A 19902-nucleotide genomic window follows, 5' to 3' on the forward strand; every position below is an offset into this window, starting at 1 on the left:
TAGCTTGACTATATGTGGCAGTGACTGGGAGGCACACTAAACCAGAACTAAGTGTATCCCCTATTCAACTTCCTCTTGATGGATCTCAAGTATTCCTGCAATCACTTTGACAACATTCTATGCCAGGTGAAGTGTGACGAAGATTAAGTGAGAGTGAAAAGACATGGCCCTCTTAACCAACTACAGTAAAAGTAACTTACTTTTGTGAATCTTTTAAAAACATGTGGTTATGTGAACCCACTTCATGGTCATGTGAACCCGCTGCTGACCCTCTCCCGGGGCGCTGGAAAGGACCTACTCAAATGAGCACCCCTGAAGTGTAAGTTTTATTTGCTTGCTGTTTCATGATCGACACACCCCACATGCATGCACATGCTTACATGTACACACACACAAACTTATTGCACAGGTATAAACAGTCGTTTTTGTGCTTACCTTTTTTTGCTGTAATGAAATGTAGACTAGGAAGTTATTATCTATAATAAGTGAATAAAAGGCTATGGCCTTTAAATTAATTATTTTATTGAGTGATTCTTTACAATCAGTCTGTAATTTGAAGTTTATTTCTAGAGTGGAGAAGTGGAATGAGAAAAGAAAAAAGGAAAATTTCCTAAAGTATCAGCTAGGCCCTGGGTTTCAATACAACACTAGCTGTGGAACTAACTGGCTGTGTGCCCAACAAAACAGAATAGGTGACTTTTAATGGCCTGAAGCTCTCTTGGAAGTGGCCATTAAGAGCAGTCAGTTTGGCAAGTCCCATTTGCCTATGTTCCTAACACTCTTTGGAACCCAGCCCATCGGAACTCTGTAAAGTATGAACATGCTGTGGTTATAAAGAAATATGGCCAAAAGTGAATCAGCTCCACAAAGAGATTATTCTAAAAGCCCAGGAATGTCTTTTTCCCCTAATGAATAAGTCAGTGGAGCAGTTGATGTGAAAGTTAAGGTAAGGTAAGCCATTCAATAAAATATGTAGTTCAAGAGGCATGTATTTCAATGCTACTTCTGTCACTATCAGCTTGGGGAAAGTTGGGCGAGTCACTTAACCTTTCTAAGCTTCAGTTTCTTTATTTTATATTTGTTATCACTAAGATCTTTCTGGCTATAAAATTCCATTTTTCATAATGTGGAATCTCTGTTAACTGTCTTTACTCATAAAGGAAAATCAAATATTGTTATTCTCTACTTACAGTCCCTGTGTGCTGTTGAAAAGTGGAGTTTCAAGGTTAAAATAACAGGTGTCTCGCAGTTTTTTAACCATTGTGGTTAAATATGTAATTGGTAAAATGAAAATTAGTATCTATTTCACAATTCGTTGAAATAAAACGAAGAAAGTCAGTAAGCGTAGCTTAGTCTCTTCTGAAACCTTTTACTTTCTACATTCACATCAGTCCTACAGGACGGGTACTGCCCTTGAGGAGGAAGCTAGCAGTTTGGGGGGTAAATTAAATTATTGGCTATGGTATTAGCAATGCAATTAAGTCACTTCTTGTGATCTGCCTTTTATCAGTATTATATGAGATACTCCTACAACCCCACATGCATGTTGATTCGTGTGCCCTTTCAACTATTTCTCTACTTGATAGGAAAAACATAAAGGTAATTGATCAACCACTTAAAATCAAAATGAATATTCAGTTGTTAATTTTATTTTTTTTCTATTCAAGTCTTCAAAAGACATTAAGAAACATGCTCTATGGTTGGTACCAAATTTTGGAGAAATCTGTTAAAAATTCAAGAGAACAATATGAAACTTTACATTTAGCCTTTTTTCATTAACATAAAATATGCTTGACTACAGTCAGTTCTGTTACAATTGACTTTTTAATGTGAATGTGAACTTACATATTAAATTAGTATAAAAATGTTGTTCTTGTCACAGTTTTATGAGTTGTTGATAATCACACATGAAGCAGAATCAGCTATTGATGTTATTTCAAGTTAAGTTAAAAGTGAGGATAGGTTAGTTCAGTATTATTTTGTGATTTTTTTTTCCTGCATATTCAGGAAAATGACCTTTCCCCTTATGTATAACAAATTGTTTTGGCAAGATTTAAGATATGATTGAAAATCTTAAAATGTGAATGAATTTGGTCTTAGAGAATACCTCTGGGGGGTCTTAGAGAATACCTCTGATTTTCAGTAAGTTAAGTTTATTACTGCTATTTTTTGATAAACTCTCAATATAAACAAACGTCTATATGAAAAGAGAAAGCATCAAAATATGTTTTATATACTTCTAAGTCTTTGCAAATCTGTGTAATATTTTTAGCAAGAACAGTTTCTGTGTAGCATGAAAACATAGCATGATGGCTTCCCTGTGTTATTTCCCATTTTGTCAGGGGAGTCAAGTAACTGCCAAGACCACATTGGTGGGCTTATGAAGGGTGATATCCCATACTCCCCACCCATAGTGAGTCATTCAATGGTGAGGTTCCTGAAGGGTGGAAAGAGTCTCAGAGTTCTGAGGCCTCTTGAAAGCAAACATACTTTGAAAGTGCAAGTCTGTTGTCCTACAGACGATCCTAAATTTGCAAGGATTCAGTGACATGTGGTTAAGACATCTTGAACTCATTATTGGAAAACTTGAAAAAAATTAGGATGGTTTCTGCCACACACTATTTTTTAAAAAAAATATGATTAAATACATGATTGCTTGTGTTTGTATAGACTTTTGCTTTTAGTCATTTTTTAAGTAGTCTAAAAGAGAAAACGTGTATTCTATTTTACCATAGGAATGTAAAATTCCTAAGGGCTCTATACTCTATGAACTTTACATGCACTGAAATTCCATCTAGAGAAATGGCGTTTAGGGGAAACTGTCAAGTGCACAAATCCTTTGCCTTTTAGTTTTTTTCATTCTGTGTATTTCTGTGTGTGTGTAATTTCTGTGTGTGTAATTTCTCTGTGTGTGTAATTTCTGCTATAAATTAGAAAGTGTGATAGTCTATATTTTTCCCATGAGTTGTTACCCTTAAGCAATAGCAGGAGAGAAATGAATTTATTTTAATTTCAAGCCATTTTAAGGTTTACTTCTCCATAGCATGGGGAAAAATGTATTAATTACTTTGGAGGATTCAGATACTTAATAGAGCAAAGGTTCATTTTGATTAAAATATATGAGAACTGGGGTAAGAAGAATTGTTCTTTTCAAATGTACACTCGGCATTTACCAAGATAGCTCATATTATGAAACATAAAATAAATCCCAATAAATTACAAGCATTCAAGTACTTTTATGTATTTAAATGTAATATGAACATATGATGTTAAAAGAAAATACATAATGTTCTCTAAACACAGTGGCATTAAATAGAATTCAGTAGCAGAGAAATACCTGAAAATTCCTCAAATATTTAAAAACTAAATTATGTACTTAAGACATCAAAAGAAAAATTGGAAAATGTTTAGAGTTGAATAAAAATGGAAATATAGTGTCTTAGTTTGCTTTGTGCTGCTGTAACAGAATACCTGAGGCCTAGGTAATTTATAATTAACAGAAATGTATTGGTTTACCATCATGAAGGCTAGGAAATCCAATGTCAAGTTGTGGGCATCTTACCAGGGCCTTTTTGCTGTGCCATGATGTGGCAGAAGACAAGAGGGTGAGAGAGAGAGAGAGAGAGAGAGCACGGAAGGGAGTCCAAACTTACCTTTTTTATAAAAAAAATCAACTCCCATAATAATAAACCTACTCCTGCATGACAACATTAATTCATTTATGAGGAAAGTGACCTCAAGGACCAATCACCACTCAAAAATCACAATGGCAACCAAATTTTAGCATGAGTTTTGGAGGGAACAAACATCCAAACCATAGCACATAGGATATCTGAATGTGGGCAAAACAACTAAAGCAGTATTTAGGGACATTTTTGCCCTAATATAAATATTTATATTATTACGTAACATAACATTCTTCACAGAGGTATAAAAAAATCTATTTTAACATTCACATGAACCAAAAAACAACCTGAATACTGAAGGCAATTCTAAGCAAAAAGAACAAAGCTGGAGGCATCAATCTAGTTAACTTCAAACTATGTTACAAGGATATAGTAACCAAAACAGCATGGTACTGGTACAAAAACAGACACCTAGGCCCGGCACCATGGCTCATGCCTGTAATCCCAGCATTTTGGGAGGCTGAGGTGGGTGGATCACCTGAGGTCAGGAGTTCAAGTCCAGCCTGACCAACATGGTGAAACCCCATCTCTACTAAAAATACAAAAATTAGTCAGGCGTGGTAGCATGTGCCAGTAATCTCAGCTACTGGGGGAGCTGAGGTAGGAGAATCACTTGAATCCAGGAGGGGGAGGTTGCAGTGAGCCGAGATTGCACCATTGCACTCTAGCCTGGGAGATAGAGTGAGACTCTGTCTCAAAAAAAAAAAAAAGCAAAAAACAAAAGAACAAAAAACAAAACAAACAAAAAAAACAGACACTTAGACCAATGGAACAGAATAGAGTGTCCAGAAAGGCTGCATACCTACAACCATCTGACATTTGACAGAGCTGACAAAAACAAGCAATGGGGAAAGGACTCCCTATTGAATAAATGGTGCTAGGATAACTGGCTAGCCATATGCAGAAGGTAGAAACTAGAACCCTTCCATACACCATATACAATAATCAACTCAAGGTGGATTAAAGACTTGAATGTAAAACCCAAAACTATAAACACCCTGGAAGACAACCTAGTCAATACCATTCTTGTTTTGGAATAGGGAAAGATTTCATGACAAAGACACTGAAGCAATTGCAACAAAAGCAAAAATTGACAAATAAGATCTAATTAGGCTAAAGAGCTTCTGCACAAAAAAAGAAACTATCAACACAGTAAACAGACAATATACAGGATGAGAGAAACTTTTTGTAAACTATGCATCTGACAAAGGTCTAATATCTATCATCTATAAAGAACTTAAATAACTTTACAAGAAAATAACAAACAACACCATTACAAAGTGGGCAAAGGACATGAACGGATGACTTTTCAAAAGAAGACATGTATGCAGCCAACAAGCATATGAAAAAAAGTTCAATATTACTGATCATTAGAGAAATGCAAATCAAAATCACAATGAGATACCATATCACACCACTCAGAATGGCTATTATTAAAAAGTCAAAAAATACCAGATGCTGGGACTGTTGCAGAGAAAAACGAATGCTTATACACTGTTGGTAGGAGTGTAAATTAGTTCAACCATTGTGGTAAGCAAGGTGATGATTCCTCAAAGAGCTAAAATCTGAACTACCATTTGACCCAGCAATCCCTTTACTGGGTATATAACCAAATGAATATAAATTGTTCTGTTATGAAGACACATGAACACGTATGTTCATGGCAACACTATTTACAATAGCAAAGACATGGAATCGGCCTAAATGCCCATCAATGGTACACTGGATAAAGAAAATATGGTACATATACGCCATGGAATACTATGCAACTATAAAAAAAAGGAACGAACTCATGTCCTTTGCAGGAACATGTATGGAGCTGGAGGCCATTATCCTTAGCAAACCAGTGCAGGAAGAGAAAACCAAATACCACATGTTCTGACTTAAATATAAGTGGGAGCTAAATGATGAGAACACGTAAACGCATAGAGGGGAACACACACTGCGGCATACCTGAGGGTGGAGGGCGGGAGAAGGGAGAGGATCAGGAAAAATAACTGATGGGTACTAGGCTTAATACCTGAGTGATGGAATATTCTGTTCAACAAACCCCTCTGACATAGGTTTGCCTATATAATAAACCTGTTCATGTACTCCTGAACCTAAAAGTTTAAAAAAGATTATGTAGAAAACCCAAAGGAATCTATAAAAAGTCTACTAGAGCTAGAGTGATTTTAACAAGATTTCAATACACAAATTCAAATGTCTTTCTATATATTAATGACAATCAACAATAAAATTTTAAAACATTATTAAAGTATAATGAAAATATCAACTGTTTAGGGAGAAATGTAACAAGAATGGTGAAGGACCTATACACTAAAAAGCTTCAATATGTTGTTGAGATTAACTGAAGAAGGTCTAAATAGATTTTTTTTTCATGTCTCGGAAGACTTAATATGTGAAGATACCAATTCTTCCCCAAATGATCAACAGGTGAAATGCAATCCCAATCAAAATCCCAGCAATTATTTTAAGGGGGAAATTGGCAATCTGATTCTAAAATTCATATGGAAAAAAACAATGGAGTTAGAATAACTAAAACAAGTCCGAAAAAGAAAAAGAAATGGAGGACTAATGCTACCTGATTTCAAGTCTTATCGTATAAATCTACATCAATAAAGGACAAGTTGGTATTGGGTTAAAGATAGATAAATACATCAGTGGAATAGAATATTGAATCCAGAATAAATCCACACATATATGGATAAAAATACCAGACAATTCAGTGGAGATGGTTTTGTTTTTACAACAAATGTTACTGGAACAAATTGATATATGTATTAGTCAGATATGGCTGCCATAACAAAGAACCACAAACAGGTGGTTTAAATAATGGAAATAAATTTCCTCAGAATTCTGGAGTATGGAAGCCCAAGATCAAGTTGCTGGGAGGATTCGTTTCTTCTGAGTGTCTCTTTTTTTGATGACAGATGACTATCTTTTACCAATGTCTTCACTTGGTTTTCCCTCTGTGTGTGCCTAGGTCCTATTCTCCAATTCCTATAAGGAAACCAGTCATATTGGATTAGGGCCCACTCTAATGGCCCCATTTTACTTGCATTATCTCTTTAAAGACACTATCTCCAGATGTAGCCACACTCTGAAGTACTTGGAATTAGGATTTATGGTGCAAGAATCTGCGAGAGAGCACAATTCAGCCCATGACAATACCCATATGTAAACAAATCTGCACACAAATCCTTGCATGCATATCTTTACAGCAGCATTATTCATAATTGCCAAAAACTGGAAAGGACCCAAATGCCCCTGAACTGGTGAATGGATAGACAGTATTTGTTGTAATCATACAATGGAATACTAGTCAGCCATAAGAAGCAATAAACTCATACACGCTGTGTTATGGCTGACCCTCGAAAACATTATGCCCAATGAAAGAAGCCAGGCACAAGAGATCACATATTTTACGATTCCATTTACACTAAATGTCCATACAAACAAATTTATACAACAGAAACTAGATTATTGGTTGCCTGAGGCTGAGGGTTGGAGCGGTAATTAATTGTAAATACAGATGAGGAATATTATTGATATGAGAGATGAAAATGTTATAAAACTAATTTATGGTGATAGTTGCATCACTTGGTAACATTCCTAAAAATCATTGAAATGCCACCTTAAATGGGTGAATTTTATGCTATGTAAAAGATACCTCACTAAAATTGTTTAAAATGCATCAATTCAAATTGGATCTTAGATCTAAAGGTAAAGCCTAATGCTATAAAACCTCTAAAAGAAAACAAAAACAGAGACTTTTGTGATCTTGGGTTAGGCATATATTTCTTGGATACAAAATCAAAGAGATGATTCAAAAAATGAATTTTGAAAAACTGAACTTCAAATAAAAATTAAAATCATCTGTCCTTTGCAGAAACTCTTAAGACAATGAAAAGACAATCTATAGAATAGAAGAAAATATTTGCAAGGAATATATCTTATAAAGGACTGATTCCAGAAAATAAAGCACAGTTAAAATGTAATATTAAGAAAATTATCAGCCAGGGTGCTTGTAGGCTTTCTTTTTTCTTTCTTTTTTTTTTTCGAGACAAGATCTCACCCTGTTGCCCAGACTGGAGTGCAGTGGCGCCATCTCGGCTCACCGCAACCTCCGCCTCCCAGGCTCAAGCGATTCTCCAGCTTCAGTCACCGGAGTAGCTTGGATTACAGGTGCGTGCCACTACCGCCTGGCTAATTTTTGTAGTTTTAGTAGAGACGGTGTTTCACCATGTTGGCCAGGCTGATCTCAAACTCCTGACCTCAAATGATCCACCTTCCTCGGCCTCCTAAAGTGCTGGGATTACAGGCGTGAGCCACCACACCCAGCCTGTATGCTTTCTTATTTGTATCCTTTCTAATATTCTTTGGGTCTCTAGGGTTTTTAGAACATTTACAATTACTACCCCTAAGGTATTCTGTAACTATTCTTTTGAAGAAATGAATTAAAGACTAAATAAAAAATTGTTAATCTGTGCTTCCAAATTGGTTGTTGAGGTCTGAAGAAGCTAGCATCAGGGAGTGATAGTGGATCTAAGGATTCTTGGAGTTGTGGGAGGACTTTGCTAGAATCCTACAGGGAAGAATTTACGAGGATATTAGGACAGTTTAGCAAGTGCAGATAAATGCAATAAACATGGGGCCAAAATATGTATATACATCGGTCATGCTTGGTCGCTAAGTAGATAGCTGGCATCAAAAAGATGTCGCCTAAAGAAATGAGAGTTTCTGTTTTTCTTTCTCCTCTCCTTTCTTTTTCCCTCCTCTCTTCCTTCTTTCTTTATTCTTTTTTTCTTGAGTGAAATATCATTTTTCTTTGTTTTTCTTGAGTGAAATATACACTACTTAAAGCAAAATAGCACATTTTGTTACATGCTAGAAAAGCATAGGAGATTACATTTATTCTCAAAGAGTAATTATTATTATTATTATTTTTTTTTTTTGAGAAAGTCTCTCCGCCTCCCAGGTTCAAGGGATTCTCCCACCTCAGCCTCCCGAGTAGCTGGGATTACAGGCGCATGCCACGACACCAAGCCAATTTTTGTATTTTTAGAAGAAATGGTCACCGCGTTGGCCAGACTGGTCTCGAACTCCTGACCTCAAGTGATCTGCCTGCCTCGGCCTCCCAAAGTGCTGGGATTACAGGCATGAGCCACTGTAATTTATTTCTTTATTCAACATGTAAAACATTCTTTTAAATACATCTCATGGAAACATTTGAATTCCTCCAGTTACAGGTATATTTACTGCATCTCTACTCTCTTTTGATAGTACTCTGAAGTACTTGGAGTTAGGATTTATGGTGCAAGAATTTGCAAGAAACCACAATTCAGCCCATGACAATATCCAGATGTAAACAAATGAACTTCAATATGTACCTCAACATATGTCCATGCATCTATATTGCAAATCTTTTCATGCAGATCTATGAAAAGTCTACTAGAGCTATAATGGCCTTTAGTTATATCTGCATGCAAATTTTTGCATTGAGATCTTCACAGCAGCATTATTCATAATTGTATTAAAAAGATTGCATTAGAAAGAATTGCGTTTTCTATTTATACAGTTGCTGATTTCTTATTTCTTTGATAAACAGGAGTTGAATTTTATACAAATCATGGCTTTTTTTGTGTAAGATATTGAGGAAATCACTGTGAATTCAAAACGGTTCATGTTCTTAAGGAGCTGGATAGTTATTAGGTAGGCAGATACTTAGATAACTACCAGTAATAAAGATTTGCAGTAGCTAGTTATTGGAACACAGAAGAGAAAGTAGCTAACTTTACCCTGGGTAGGTGATATAGTTTGGATATTGTCCCTGCCTGTCTCCTGTTGAATTATAATCCCCAGCACTAGAGGTGGGGCCTGGTGGAAGGTATTTGGGTCTTGGGGGTGGAGCCCTCATGGCTTATTGCTATCTTCATGATAGTGAGTTCTGCTGAGATCTGGTCAGTTAAAAAGGTTCCATTTGACCCAGCAATTCCATTACTGGGTATATACTCAAAGGATTATAAATCATTCTCTATAAAGACACATGCACACGTATGTTTATTGCAGCACTATTCACAATAGCAAAGACTTGGAACCAACCCAAATGCTCATCAATGATGGACTGGATAAAGAAAATGTGGCACATATACACTATGGAATACTATGCAGCCATAAAAAAGAATGGGTTCATGTCCTTTGCAGGGATATGGATGATGCTGGAAACCATCATCCTCAGTAAACTAACACAGGAACAGAAAACCAAACACCGCATGTTCTCACTCATAAGTGGGAGTTGAACCATAAGAACACATGGACATAGGGAGGGGAACATCACACACTGGAACCTGTTGGGGGGGTGTGGGGCAAGGGGAGAGAGAGCATTAGGACAAATAGCTGATGCATGTGGGGCTTGAAACCTAGATGACGGGTTGATAGGTGCAGCAAACCGCCATGGCCCATGTATACCTATGTAACAAACCTGCACATTCTGCACATGTATTCCAGAACTTAAAGTAAAAGGTAAAAAAAAAAGAACGTGACACCTTCCTCTCCATGACTGTCTTTCATGCTCCTGCTTTTGCCATGTGATGTGCCTGCTCCCCTTTGCCTTTCACCATGATTTTAAGCTTCTTGAATCCCTCACCAGAAGCCGAGCAAATGTCAGTGCCATCCTTGTGCAACTTGCAGAACCATGAGTCAATTAAATCTCTTTTCTTTATATATTACCCAGTCTCAGGTATTTTTCGTTGTTGTTTAATAAGGAAAGGATTTCACTAATTTTTGAAGCAAATAAGATTTGTGAGTTTCAAAGAAAAGGCTAACCTTCCTATATTAAATGTTTATGTCTAATGTTCCTCAATTGCAAATGCAAGTTTTGACCATTATGCAAAACAAAGTCCTGGAATTTACAACATTTTCTTGATGGTATTAACTCTTTTTTCTCTGGCATGCTATTGATAATAGATTAGATTCAAAAGATTGGCCGTATTGTTCCCAGTGTCTGGCAGTATGGAATGGTTCAGGAGCTCTAAGGTAAAACCTATAAGTGAAAAATCAATGAGATTTTCATTCTACAGATCAATAGTTTAAAATGGTACACAGGTACTCATATTTGGCAACTTTCTTCTTTATAGCAATGTAAGAATGCCTAGTAGAGTAGGGATTAGGAGAACTGGTCTTGCTTGGAAAGGTTTGAGGAGGAGAAAGTGGTTAAACAGAAAATTGAGTAATATTTTACTATATAAATGAGAGTTGAAGGAGGGCAACCAGGAGGAAAAAAAAGCATTACGAAAAACAAGGGATGATAGAGAATGAGATGTTTCAGGGACAGTTAGTGACTCAATGTGAGGAGTGTGCAGGGTATTCGATGGAACAGTGGTGCTTAATGGAGCCCCCAAAGCAGACAGAAAATAGAACAGAAATGGCCCTGCATGCCATGCTAAAGGATTTGGAATTGATCTTGTATTCACTGGAGAGCCGCAGGAGAAGTATAATAAAGGGAACAAAAGTGGACTTCAGAATGTAGTCTGTGTGGCATGAGAAGATAAATTCAGAGCACTTTCAGAAAGAAAGCAGAAAACCCTATACTACGGCTATTTTATTAATGCAGGGAAAAATTATGGTGTCCTGGCATAAGATAGCAGCAGTTGAGAATGAAGAGGAGGGGCTGGATTTGAGATATATTAAGAACATTGAATCAATAGGTTGGAATGGTTGAGCAGTGGGGGATTGAGGAATTGGTGAAGAACGTAAATGAGTCAAGGATGACTCATGGATTCCTAATTTATAAAAAATAAATATAATGGAGACATATAAAATATAAACATTCATTTGGTTTGTGTCATTTTACTGAAGAATCCTTGTTTTTAGCATACTTTTTGTATCATAGATATTCATTACCTTGATTGAAAATCGAAAGCAGAAGAAATACATAAAACATTCACAACAAAGTTGCAAGAAAATTGCTTTGAAGATACAGTTTCCTGTTATGTTGATTACTTTGTCCTAGGCTAGTGTCCTTCTTTATCTAAATTCTGAAATATTAGCTATTTTTTATCTGACTTACATTATACATCGTATTATGATGCATACATAAAACTTTAACTTTGGGAGTTTGAAATACACTGGACCATAAGTTACATGAGTTTCAGGGCTGTTTACCTCTATATTCCCAGCATTTAGCACAGGGTTTCACACATAGTAAACACTCATTCTTGTTAAATGAATGAATGAACAAATGAATGAATGAATGAAATAATTGTTCAAAAAATACCAATCAGCTGCTCAATTTGTCCAGAATCATTAAATAGCAAATTTCTTTCTGATAATAATGGCAGAAATATTTCAGTTCAATTAGGTTGACAATCATATTTGAGTTTCTGGTACCAATATACTACTCTCTGATACGCAATATAAATAATATCTGTAACCTAGTGTTCATTATCCATGAAGTATAAATAATCTTTTCAAAATTGTTTGGAAATGAACCAGTGGATATGCATTCAGAATTACTTTAGTTAAAACTCAAGACATATTAAATGTACATAGTACGTTCATGTCCTTCTTTATTTTGTCCTGTCCCCACTTTGGTTGTTGCCTGGCTGGTTCCCAAAGCAATTCCGAATTCCAGCATGCAGAATTTTATGTGAAACTTACCTAAGACAAAGGATGTTTTATTTTTTCAATGACCACTTTCTTTCATGGCTTGGCACATAAAAGATGTAGACTTTCTCACTCTATTTCTGAATAATGGATTTTAAAACCATATTAGACATCTCCAACATAATATAAACTGAGGGAGTACATGGTAGAGTATCTTAGGAATGTCCTGCCAGTAAACACAAGTAATTAATCAACCCACACATTTTTTTTTGTTAGCCTAATTTACTCCCATGAGATACAGCAGTAGTAAAATTCATTCATCCAACATTCTTTAATACTTGCCAGATAAGAAGGGCTACTTGCCCCCACTTCAGTGACAGGTTAATAGTTCTATTTTGGAAATGTTTGTCTAAATCCAAGAACTCAGGCTCAGTGCCATTTATTTATTTGGGAGATTGTTGGCAGGAAAGTACTATACCCTTACCTGGCAGGAGTAGTGCGGGTGAGGATTTTGCCTTCATTTTCATTTGTGCTTAATTCAATCTGATAGAAAATAGCTGCAGAGCACAAGTGAGAAGGAATATATACAGAATTTTCAAGGAAGAAAAATAAAATTGGTGTTAAAATTAACTTCACTTCAACATCTAAAGTGAAGTCTCATTATCCTGTGTACCTCAAGGACATATTCTCCAAACTTCTCAGCTATTTCTGAGGGGCTCTCCACTTATATTTCAACTTCCTTCTTTGTAGCCCCAGATATAGGCTTACACCTCCTGGCTTGACTGCTTCTCTGATGCTATGAACTCTACATTCAAGTTTCAAGCCAATAGAGCTCCAAACATACAATTTCTCTGTATCACATTCACAATGTTCTCTAGGCTTAAAGGGAGAAGAGTGACCTCCACCCCTCCTGCACTGGAGTATATTTCTCTCTCTTAAGACAACCCTCAATCTACCTCCTATTTAGTGATGTTTCCACATTTACTGTGCATTTCAGGTAACAGCAGCCACAGGTGGTTACATCTATCCTTGCTTTGTACTGTCTAGCTCAACTACCACCACACCTAACTGTACCATGCCATTCTACTCCAGTGGCCAGATGCCAGATGGGCACTAAGGTGTCTGGCACCATCCACAGACTGACCAGTATATGCCATAGCCTAGTGCAAGTGCAAGAGGCCAACTCAATCAGTCTGCCTTTGAATGCTAGATCTGGACACCAGAAAATCTGGACACCAAAAATCAAGATGTCCACATAAGTCATACTTTCAGGCTGCCCTGATTATTTCTCAAGTACCTCATAGCTAAAATGTAAAAGGCCTAGCTATTTTTAAAAAAATTTTAAATAGCTCTGAACCCGAGAATGCTTTAAGTTCACAGTAATATAGATGAAAGCTAAAATGTCAAAGGTACAGCTATAATAACTTAAAAGACAAGTACCTTTGTGAATCAGAAATAATCTAGAAAGAGTTTTAGAAAATATATAAATCTATGGTCATTCTTGGATCTGGCTGGAGAAGCAGGCAGAACCAGCTAAATGATAACATTGACTTTTTGATATGCCATTCTGCATACCGGTCTCACATTCAGGCTGGTAACAGGACGGGTGCAGTTGTTCCTGCCATCGCATCTCATATTCACATAGGACCGTATTAAGAATATAAAAAAACTAGAGGAGCACCTAGGTCTCCTTCGTAAGAAAATCTTTCTGGAATGCCTCCACGTAGACTTCCCTATATATCCTATTGGCCAGAATTTTGTTCTATATCCATTCTTTACCTGATCACTGGGAAGGCAGAAGGAATTGCCATAACTGGAAGAAAAAAACAACCTGTGGAATAGAATGTTTGGGAAGAATCCAGCAAAAATGCCCACCATGATACATCTTTTGCTCATACATTATGTTAAAAATGCTGATGTCAAAATTAAACACACTCAGTCCTTCTTCAAATAGAAACAACTCAAAGTTTCATCCTTGGTCAAATTCAGTATTTTGCATGATGTGTAATCCTCATCACATCTCTGCTCAGTTTTTCATGTTCTATATCAGAGGTCAGCAAAATATGGCCCTATAGCCAAATCTGGCCTGCTGCCTGTTTTTGTGTGGCCCACAAACTAATGTGTGTGTGTGTATGTGTGTTTACAATTGTTAATGTTTACATTTAAAACAAGAATAAATCATATTCTTTGTTTTTCCTTTTGTCCTGGAAATTCTAAAATATTTACCATATGGTCCTTTGCAGAAAATGTTTGCCAACTCCTGTTCAATGGGACTTTGAATGAAAAGACAAGTTTTCCACCCCAATATAACCAATATACAATGATACATCATTTTAAAAATGTAATTCTAAAAAGGGATTGTTGGGTGACACTCTTACATGAATTTTGTCCTAATATTGGTCTTTGTGAGGGTGGTGGCCAATGCTCCTTGGAATGTCCTGCCTATTCTTTTTTCCTAATGTGGCCTTACGTAAACTGAGGTCATGGAAGCATGAAATCCAAAATTTTCTAACAAGGCTTCCAAGGGTGGATCTTATTTGTTTCAGTAGAACAAAACTTGCTATTCTAATGGTCTCTCCACTTTTCCTTCTGCCTCTGAGCAAGATGAAGAAAAAAAGATGAAGCTGTTTTCCAGAGACCAGCACTTCATCCCTGAGAAAATGTCAAGATTATAGGCATGCTCTATAGAAGATAATGAGTTAATACCGGTAATTTGTTTACTCATATTTGAAACTCAGTTTCCCTATTTGAACAATGGAAATTATAATATCTTCTTCTCAAGTTTATGTATTTGATCCTTCATAAATATAGAAGAAATGTACCTGTTTTTTCTTGTTATCCTCTGTGATTTGCTTTTTCATAAATATAGGAGAAATGTCCCTATTTTTTCTTTAGTTATCCCCCATGAGAAGCTTGACAAACATCTGCACCACCCAGTGATCTATATTAAGGTAGTCTGATTCTAAAAATTCACAATTTGAGAAAAATATTCCCTCCTTCCAATTTCTCTCTGTCCATATTCACTGAGTTGGTAGAAAACCTATTATTTTAAAGTATATCATCAGATTGAATTATTCTCAGTCACTTCTAAGACAAGTTTAATCTGCCATGGCTAGAAATGTCATCTTTGTTTCATTATTGTTACCTGAGAGTATTTATACATAAGGAAACAATAAGTACCTGAAAGATATGTAATTTCGTTATAAGTACCTGAGAGGTATGAATAGCTAGATCACTAATACTTTTCAGTCATATAATTTTAGAATATTTTAAAAGGGCAAACACATATAGGGCACTTTCACATATGTTCCTTGAGTCTTGAAGGAGCTTTTACTGATATCTGTGGTATGTTTTTAAGTCATCTGCATGAATAGTTAGTACAGCAGCTTTAAGTCAGATAATTTCTTATAGTCAGAAAACAAAAAACAAACTTGCTGCAAACATAGGAATTTTAATGATAAGAGAAAAAAATATTTTTTAAAGCCTTTCTCTGACAAATCCAGGAAACATAATCTTCAAGTATCATGGATTTCTTTGAAAATATAATTATGGTAGAGCTTGTCATTTGCTGCTTTTCTAATAATTTCAACAAATTTATTTTCTATTTCATATAATTATAATTATCTCATTTTTAGTCTTGTTACAGAAATTAATTTACCTATTATATTTGATTTATATGAATTGTACATGGGAAGAAACCATCACAGAATCATAAAACTGGGGAGAGATGCTAATCTAATCCACAAAGTCTCCTATAATTTGAATGTGGTTGGACACTTCTAATTAAGCGTTGGATTGACATTCATTTTTCTCTGATTTCTATTTTCTATTTATTAATTATAATGACAATTTTCACCTTTGAAAAATGAATACTGTTAATCATATTTAGTAAAACTTCTAAAATAGAACAATGTTTGCTTTCTTGGAATTACTGCCACTTGTAACTTTTTTGTTGTATTAGACCTGTGGTAGATAATCTATTTAGGATTTTTACACTACCATATGTGAAACTGATCTTCCTTATTTTGAAGAATGGCTAAATCAGGGGAGTATTTGATTGGGGTTCCCAGAAACCAACAAGATGTGGATTCATATTCAAATGCTTCCAGGAGAATCAAGTAAGGAAGTTAAGAAAGAGAAAGAAAGGAAACAAAGGTGAGGGTTTTTTTTTGTTTGTTTTGTTTCTTTGTTTTTGTCAAATTCCCATTCTCAGCCCAATTCCACCAAGAGCTCTGAGTGTAAGTCACAATGCGGAGTATGTTACTTACAAGAGCAAGGGAGCTAGCTTGCCTTCCAGGGCCAGTCGGCTATTGGCCAAGGGGCTGCCTAGGAAGAACTGAGCACAGGTAATCTTCCAGGCATTTCTGATCCTAATAGATCTAGTAGCCCAGGAGAAGTCCTCTGAAGAATGTGGCAGAAGCCGGCTGTTAGAGGCAAACCACACAGAAGCTGGTAAATGTATCTCAGGGGATGTGGGTGAAATACCAGTGGTGTCCAATGAAGGGATAAATTCCAGAAGAGAAGGCTACACATATTTTTAGATTGACCAGTTTAAAGCGTGCATTAAATCACAAGAATTAAATTTGGCCCAGGGCAAGTAAATTTGATCACTAATTATCTTGAGTCCACTTTCTGAAGTTAATCCTTAAGATTACATGTATTATCTCCGCATTTAGCCAAATCAAATTTCCCCCAGCCCCAGAGTATATGTTAATAGAATTTTTCCAGGAAATACCAAACATAAAAGAGATGCCAAATTAAGAGTGTACAAAGCTATGGGTTTCACATGTGAAAAAGAGACTTTGAGAAATACTTTAAAAATATTGATTACCTTGGATTTTTTTTTCAGTTTGTACATTATTAGCTCAAATATCTTAGCAGTTGGTGAAGCATGGAATTTTTATGATGTCTTCCAGAAGGAACTAAATGTATTTAAGTACAGGCATTCTTTTTTTTATATATATACTTTAAGTTTTGGGATACATGTGCAGAACGTGCAGGTTTGTTACATAGGTATACACGTGCCACGGTGGTTTTCTGCACCCATCAACCCTTCATCTACATTAGGTATTTCTCCTAATGCTATCCCTCCCCTAGCCCCCCACCCCCCAATAGGCCTCACTGTGTGATGTTCCCCTCCCTGTGTTCACATGTTCTCATTGTTCAACTCCCACTTATGAGTGAGAACATGCAGTGTTTGGTTTTCTGTTCCTGTGTTATTTTGCTGAGAATGATGGTTTCCAGCTTCATCCATGTCCCTGCAAAGGACATGAACTCATTCTTTTTTATGGCTGCATAGTATCCCATGGTGTATATGTGCCACATTTTCTTTATCCAGTCCATCATTGATGGGCATTTGGGTTGGTTCCAAGTCTTTGCGATTGTGAATAGAAGCACAGACATTTTTAAGGCCTCTAAAATTAGTAGAAGAAATATTTTTAAGAAAAAATTATGTAAGAGTGATTAAATGTCAATGTACTAAATAAATATGGTTTCTGTTTTATAATCTATGATTGTGTTTTGAGGTGTTAACCACACAATTTTTTAAAAGTTGATGTTAATCAGCAAATATAAAATTTTGCCAGTATTTAATATGTAATTTTGAATTGTTGTGTTAAATGCATTGATGTATGTAAAACACTTAGTGGAGTATTGACCAGAGTGTAGTCTCATTTCATATGATTGAGTTCTCCTTGCCTTCCTATTTTAATCACATTAGCATTATTAAATAATAGCTACTTTGTTTAGAGAATCTATTGGTATTCTTCAATTAAGAAAAGCTCTTCGCTCTGTAACTCTGCCTTAAATAATGTTCGGTATTATATGTACAATAATATATATTTTCTAAAGTCTTCTGATCTATAAAATAATGTCATCAATTAGGCAATTATTTGATCATTTTTATCCAGAGTACTGTAATTCCTAAAATGAGCATATAACTGAAAGAGGATTTCTACAGAGAAAGAGTTGTTGTTTTCCTAAAACTTTGAGCTGATGTCCCTGAGCTGTCCTAGGGACATCTGATGTCCTAGCCACTACTCTGCCCCGATTCTGGCAGCTTCTGGGGGACTGGCTCCCATAACCCCCCTGCGCATCATCTTTTCTGCTGAGCCACGTCTTCTACCTGGCACCTGATCCGAGCCCCAAGGTAGTGATGCGACAGGAGCACTCAGGTTTCTGATGCTGGTTCTGTTTCTCTCTCATTTTTGTTTTGTCATTCCATTTTTTTACATCTTTTAGGATTACCTGGACTATTCCCTTTCAAATATTCTGGTAGGGCTAATTCTCTACTGACATATTTAGACACAAAAAATTGACTAATGTAGCTTCATTGGACCATTAGTTGTTGATTCTATCATGGGAATCCCACATGATACCCTGTGATCGGAGAAGGTGTGTTACCTCATAGGTGTGTTGACATCCTACTGACACTTTCCAAACTATTTCTTTTAGACCATAGAGATTTTAATTTTGATCTTCATTCTGCAACGTGAACTGATCCCTTAGAGCTAACTTTTGTCTAGAATAGAATCTCTAGTATCTTCCAAAATTCTTGAACTGTGGGACACTGAGTAGGGCTGATATACTGAACCTTTCAGATGCCAGCAAAAGCAGTGGAATAGCCAAACTGAAGAGCTAGTGGGCTTGGCTAAGAGCAAAGACATCAGGTTCGTCAAAGGGCCTGACATCTATTTTTTTTTTATCCTGTCTCAAAGCAGCTATATAAATATGAAAGGAGTGTGTGAGACAAAACAAAATTCTGCTTGGGCACAACAGCTCAAGCCTATAATTCCAACACTTTGGGAGGCCGAGGCCGGCAATCACTTGAGGTCAGGAGTTCAAGACCAGCCTGCCCAACATGGTGAAACCCCATCCCTACAAAAAATACAAAAATTAGCCAGGCCTGATGGCATGCGCCTATAATTCCAGCTACTCGGGAGGCTGAGGCAGGAGAATCACTCAGACCTGGGAGGTGGAGGTTGCTGTGAGCTGAGATCATGCCACTGCACTCCAGCCTGGGCGACAGAGTGAGACTCCAAAAAAAAAAAAAACTCTACTAGAAATAACTGATTTTATCTTTGTCATCTAAAGAGAAAACAATACTCTTGGTTAGTTATAATATATATTTATATATTATACATAATATTTATATATCATATTTTTATATATTTATATATTATAAATAATGTTTATATATTTATATATTATAAATAATATTTATATATATTTAATAAATAATGTTTATATATTTATATATTATAAATAATATTTATATATATTTATATGTATATATTTATACTTTCAGTATGTGTTAGTCATGCCAAGGACAGTTGCTTCTGCTTAGTTGCATTCTTTAGCTGGATTCAATTGTAGGTTTAGTGGATGATTTAAAATGAGCTCTAAAATAGCCCAGGGGTAGTACCAAATACACACTCAAAAGTTCCATTAATGCGTCAGATTAGGGAAGGCTTTGTAAAGCTTTCTGGAAGGTTTTAAAGCTCTGAATTATCATCTTTGTTTTAAATTATCTTGTCATGGTGCTTGGTTTACCTGTCATTTTTTTTTAACTAAAAGATATATATGATACAAATTTATCCCATATGTAAGT

At 35.9% G+C, this 19902-nt stretch overlaps 2 long non-coding RNA genes across 2 annotated transcripts in view; one reads left to right on the plus strand and one right to left on the minus strand.

Moving 5' to 3' along the window:
* LOC102724355 (uncharacterized) overlaps positions 1-19902 on the minus strand; it is a 177651-nt gene that overhangs the window by 16291 nt on the left and 141458 nt on the right. The gene's annotated exons all lie outside the window — the stretch shown is intronic.
* LOC105372759 (uncharacterized) overlaps positions 14522-19902 on the plus strand; it is a 28328-nt gene continuing 22947 nt past the window's right edge. Inside the window, exons 1-2 of the long non-coding RNA XR_001755130.2 lie at positions 14522-15001; positions 16325-16448. This is a non-coding gene — a long non-coding RNA (uncharacterized LOC105372759). The remainder of the gene's footprint in view (positions 15002-16324; positions 16449-19902) is intronic.

The sequence above is a fragment of the Homo sapiens genome, chromosome 21 (genome assembly GCF_000001405.40).
Source record: "Homo sapiens chromosome 21, GRCh38.p14 Primary Assembly".
NCBI lineage: Eukaryota > Metazoa > Chordata > Mammalia > Primates > Hominidae > Homo > Homo sapiens.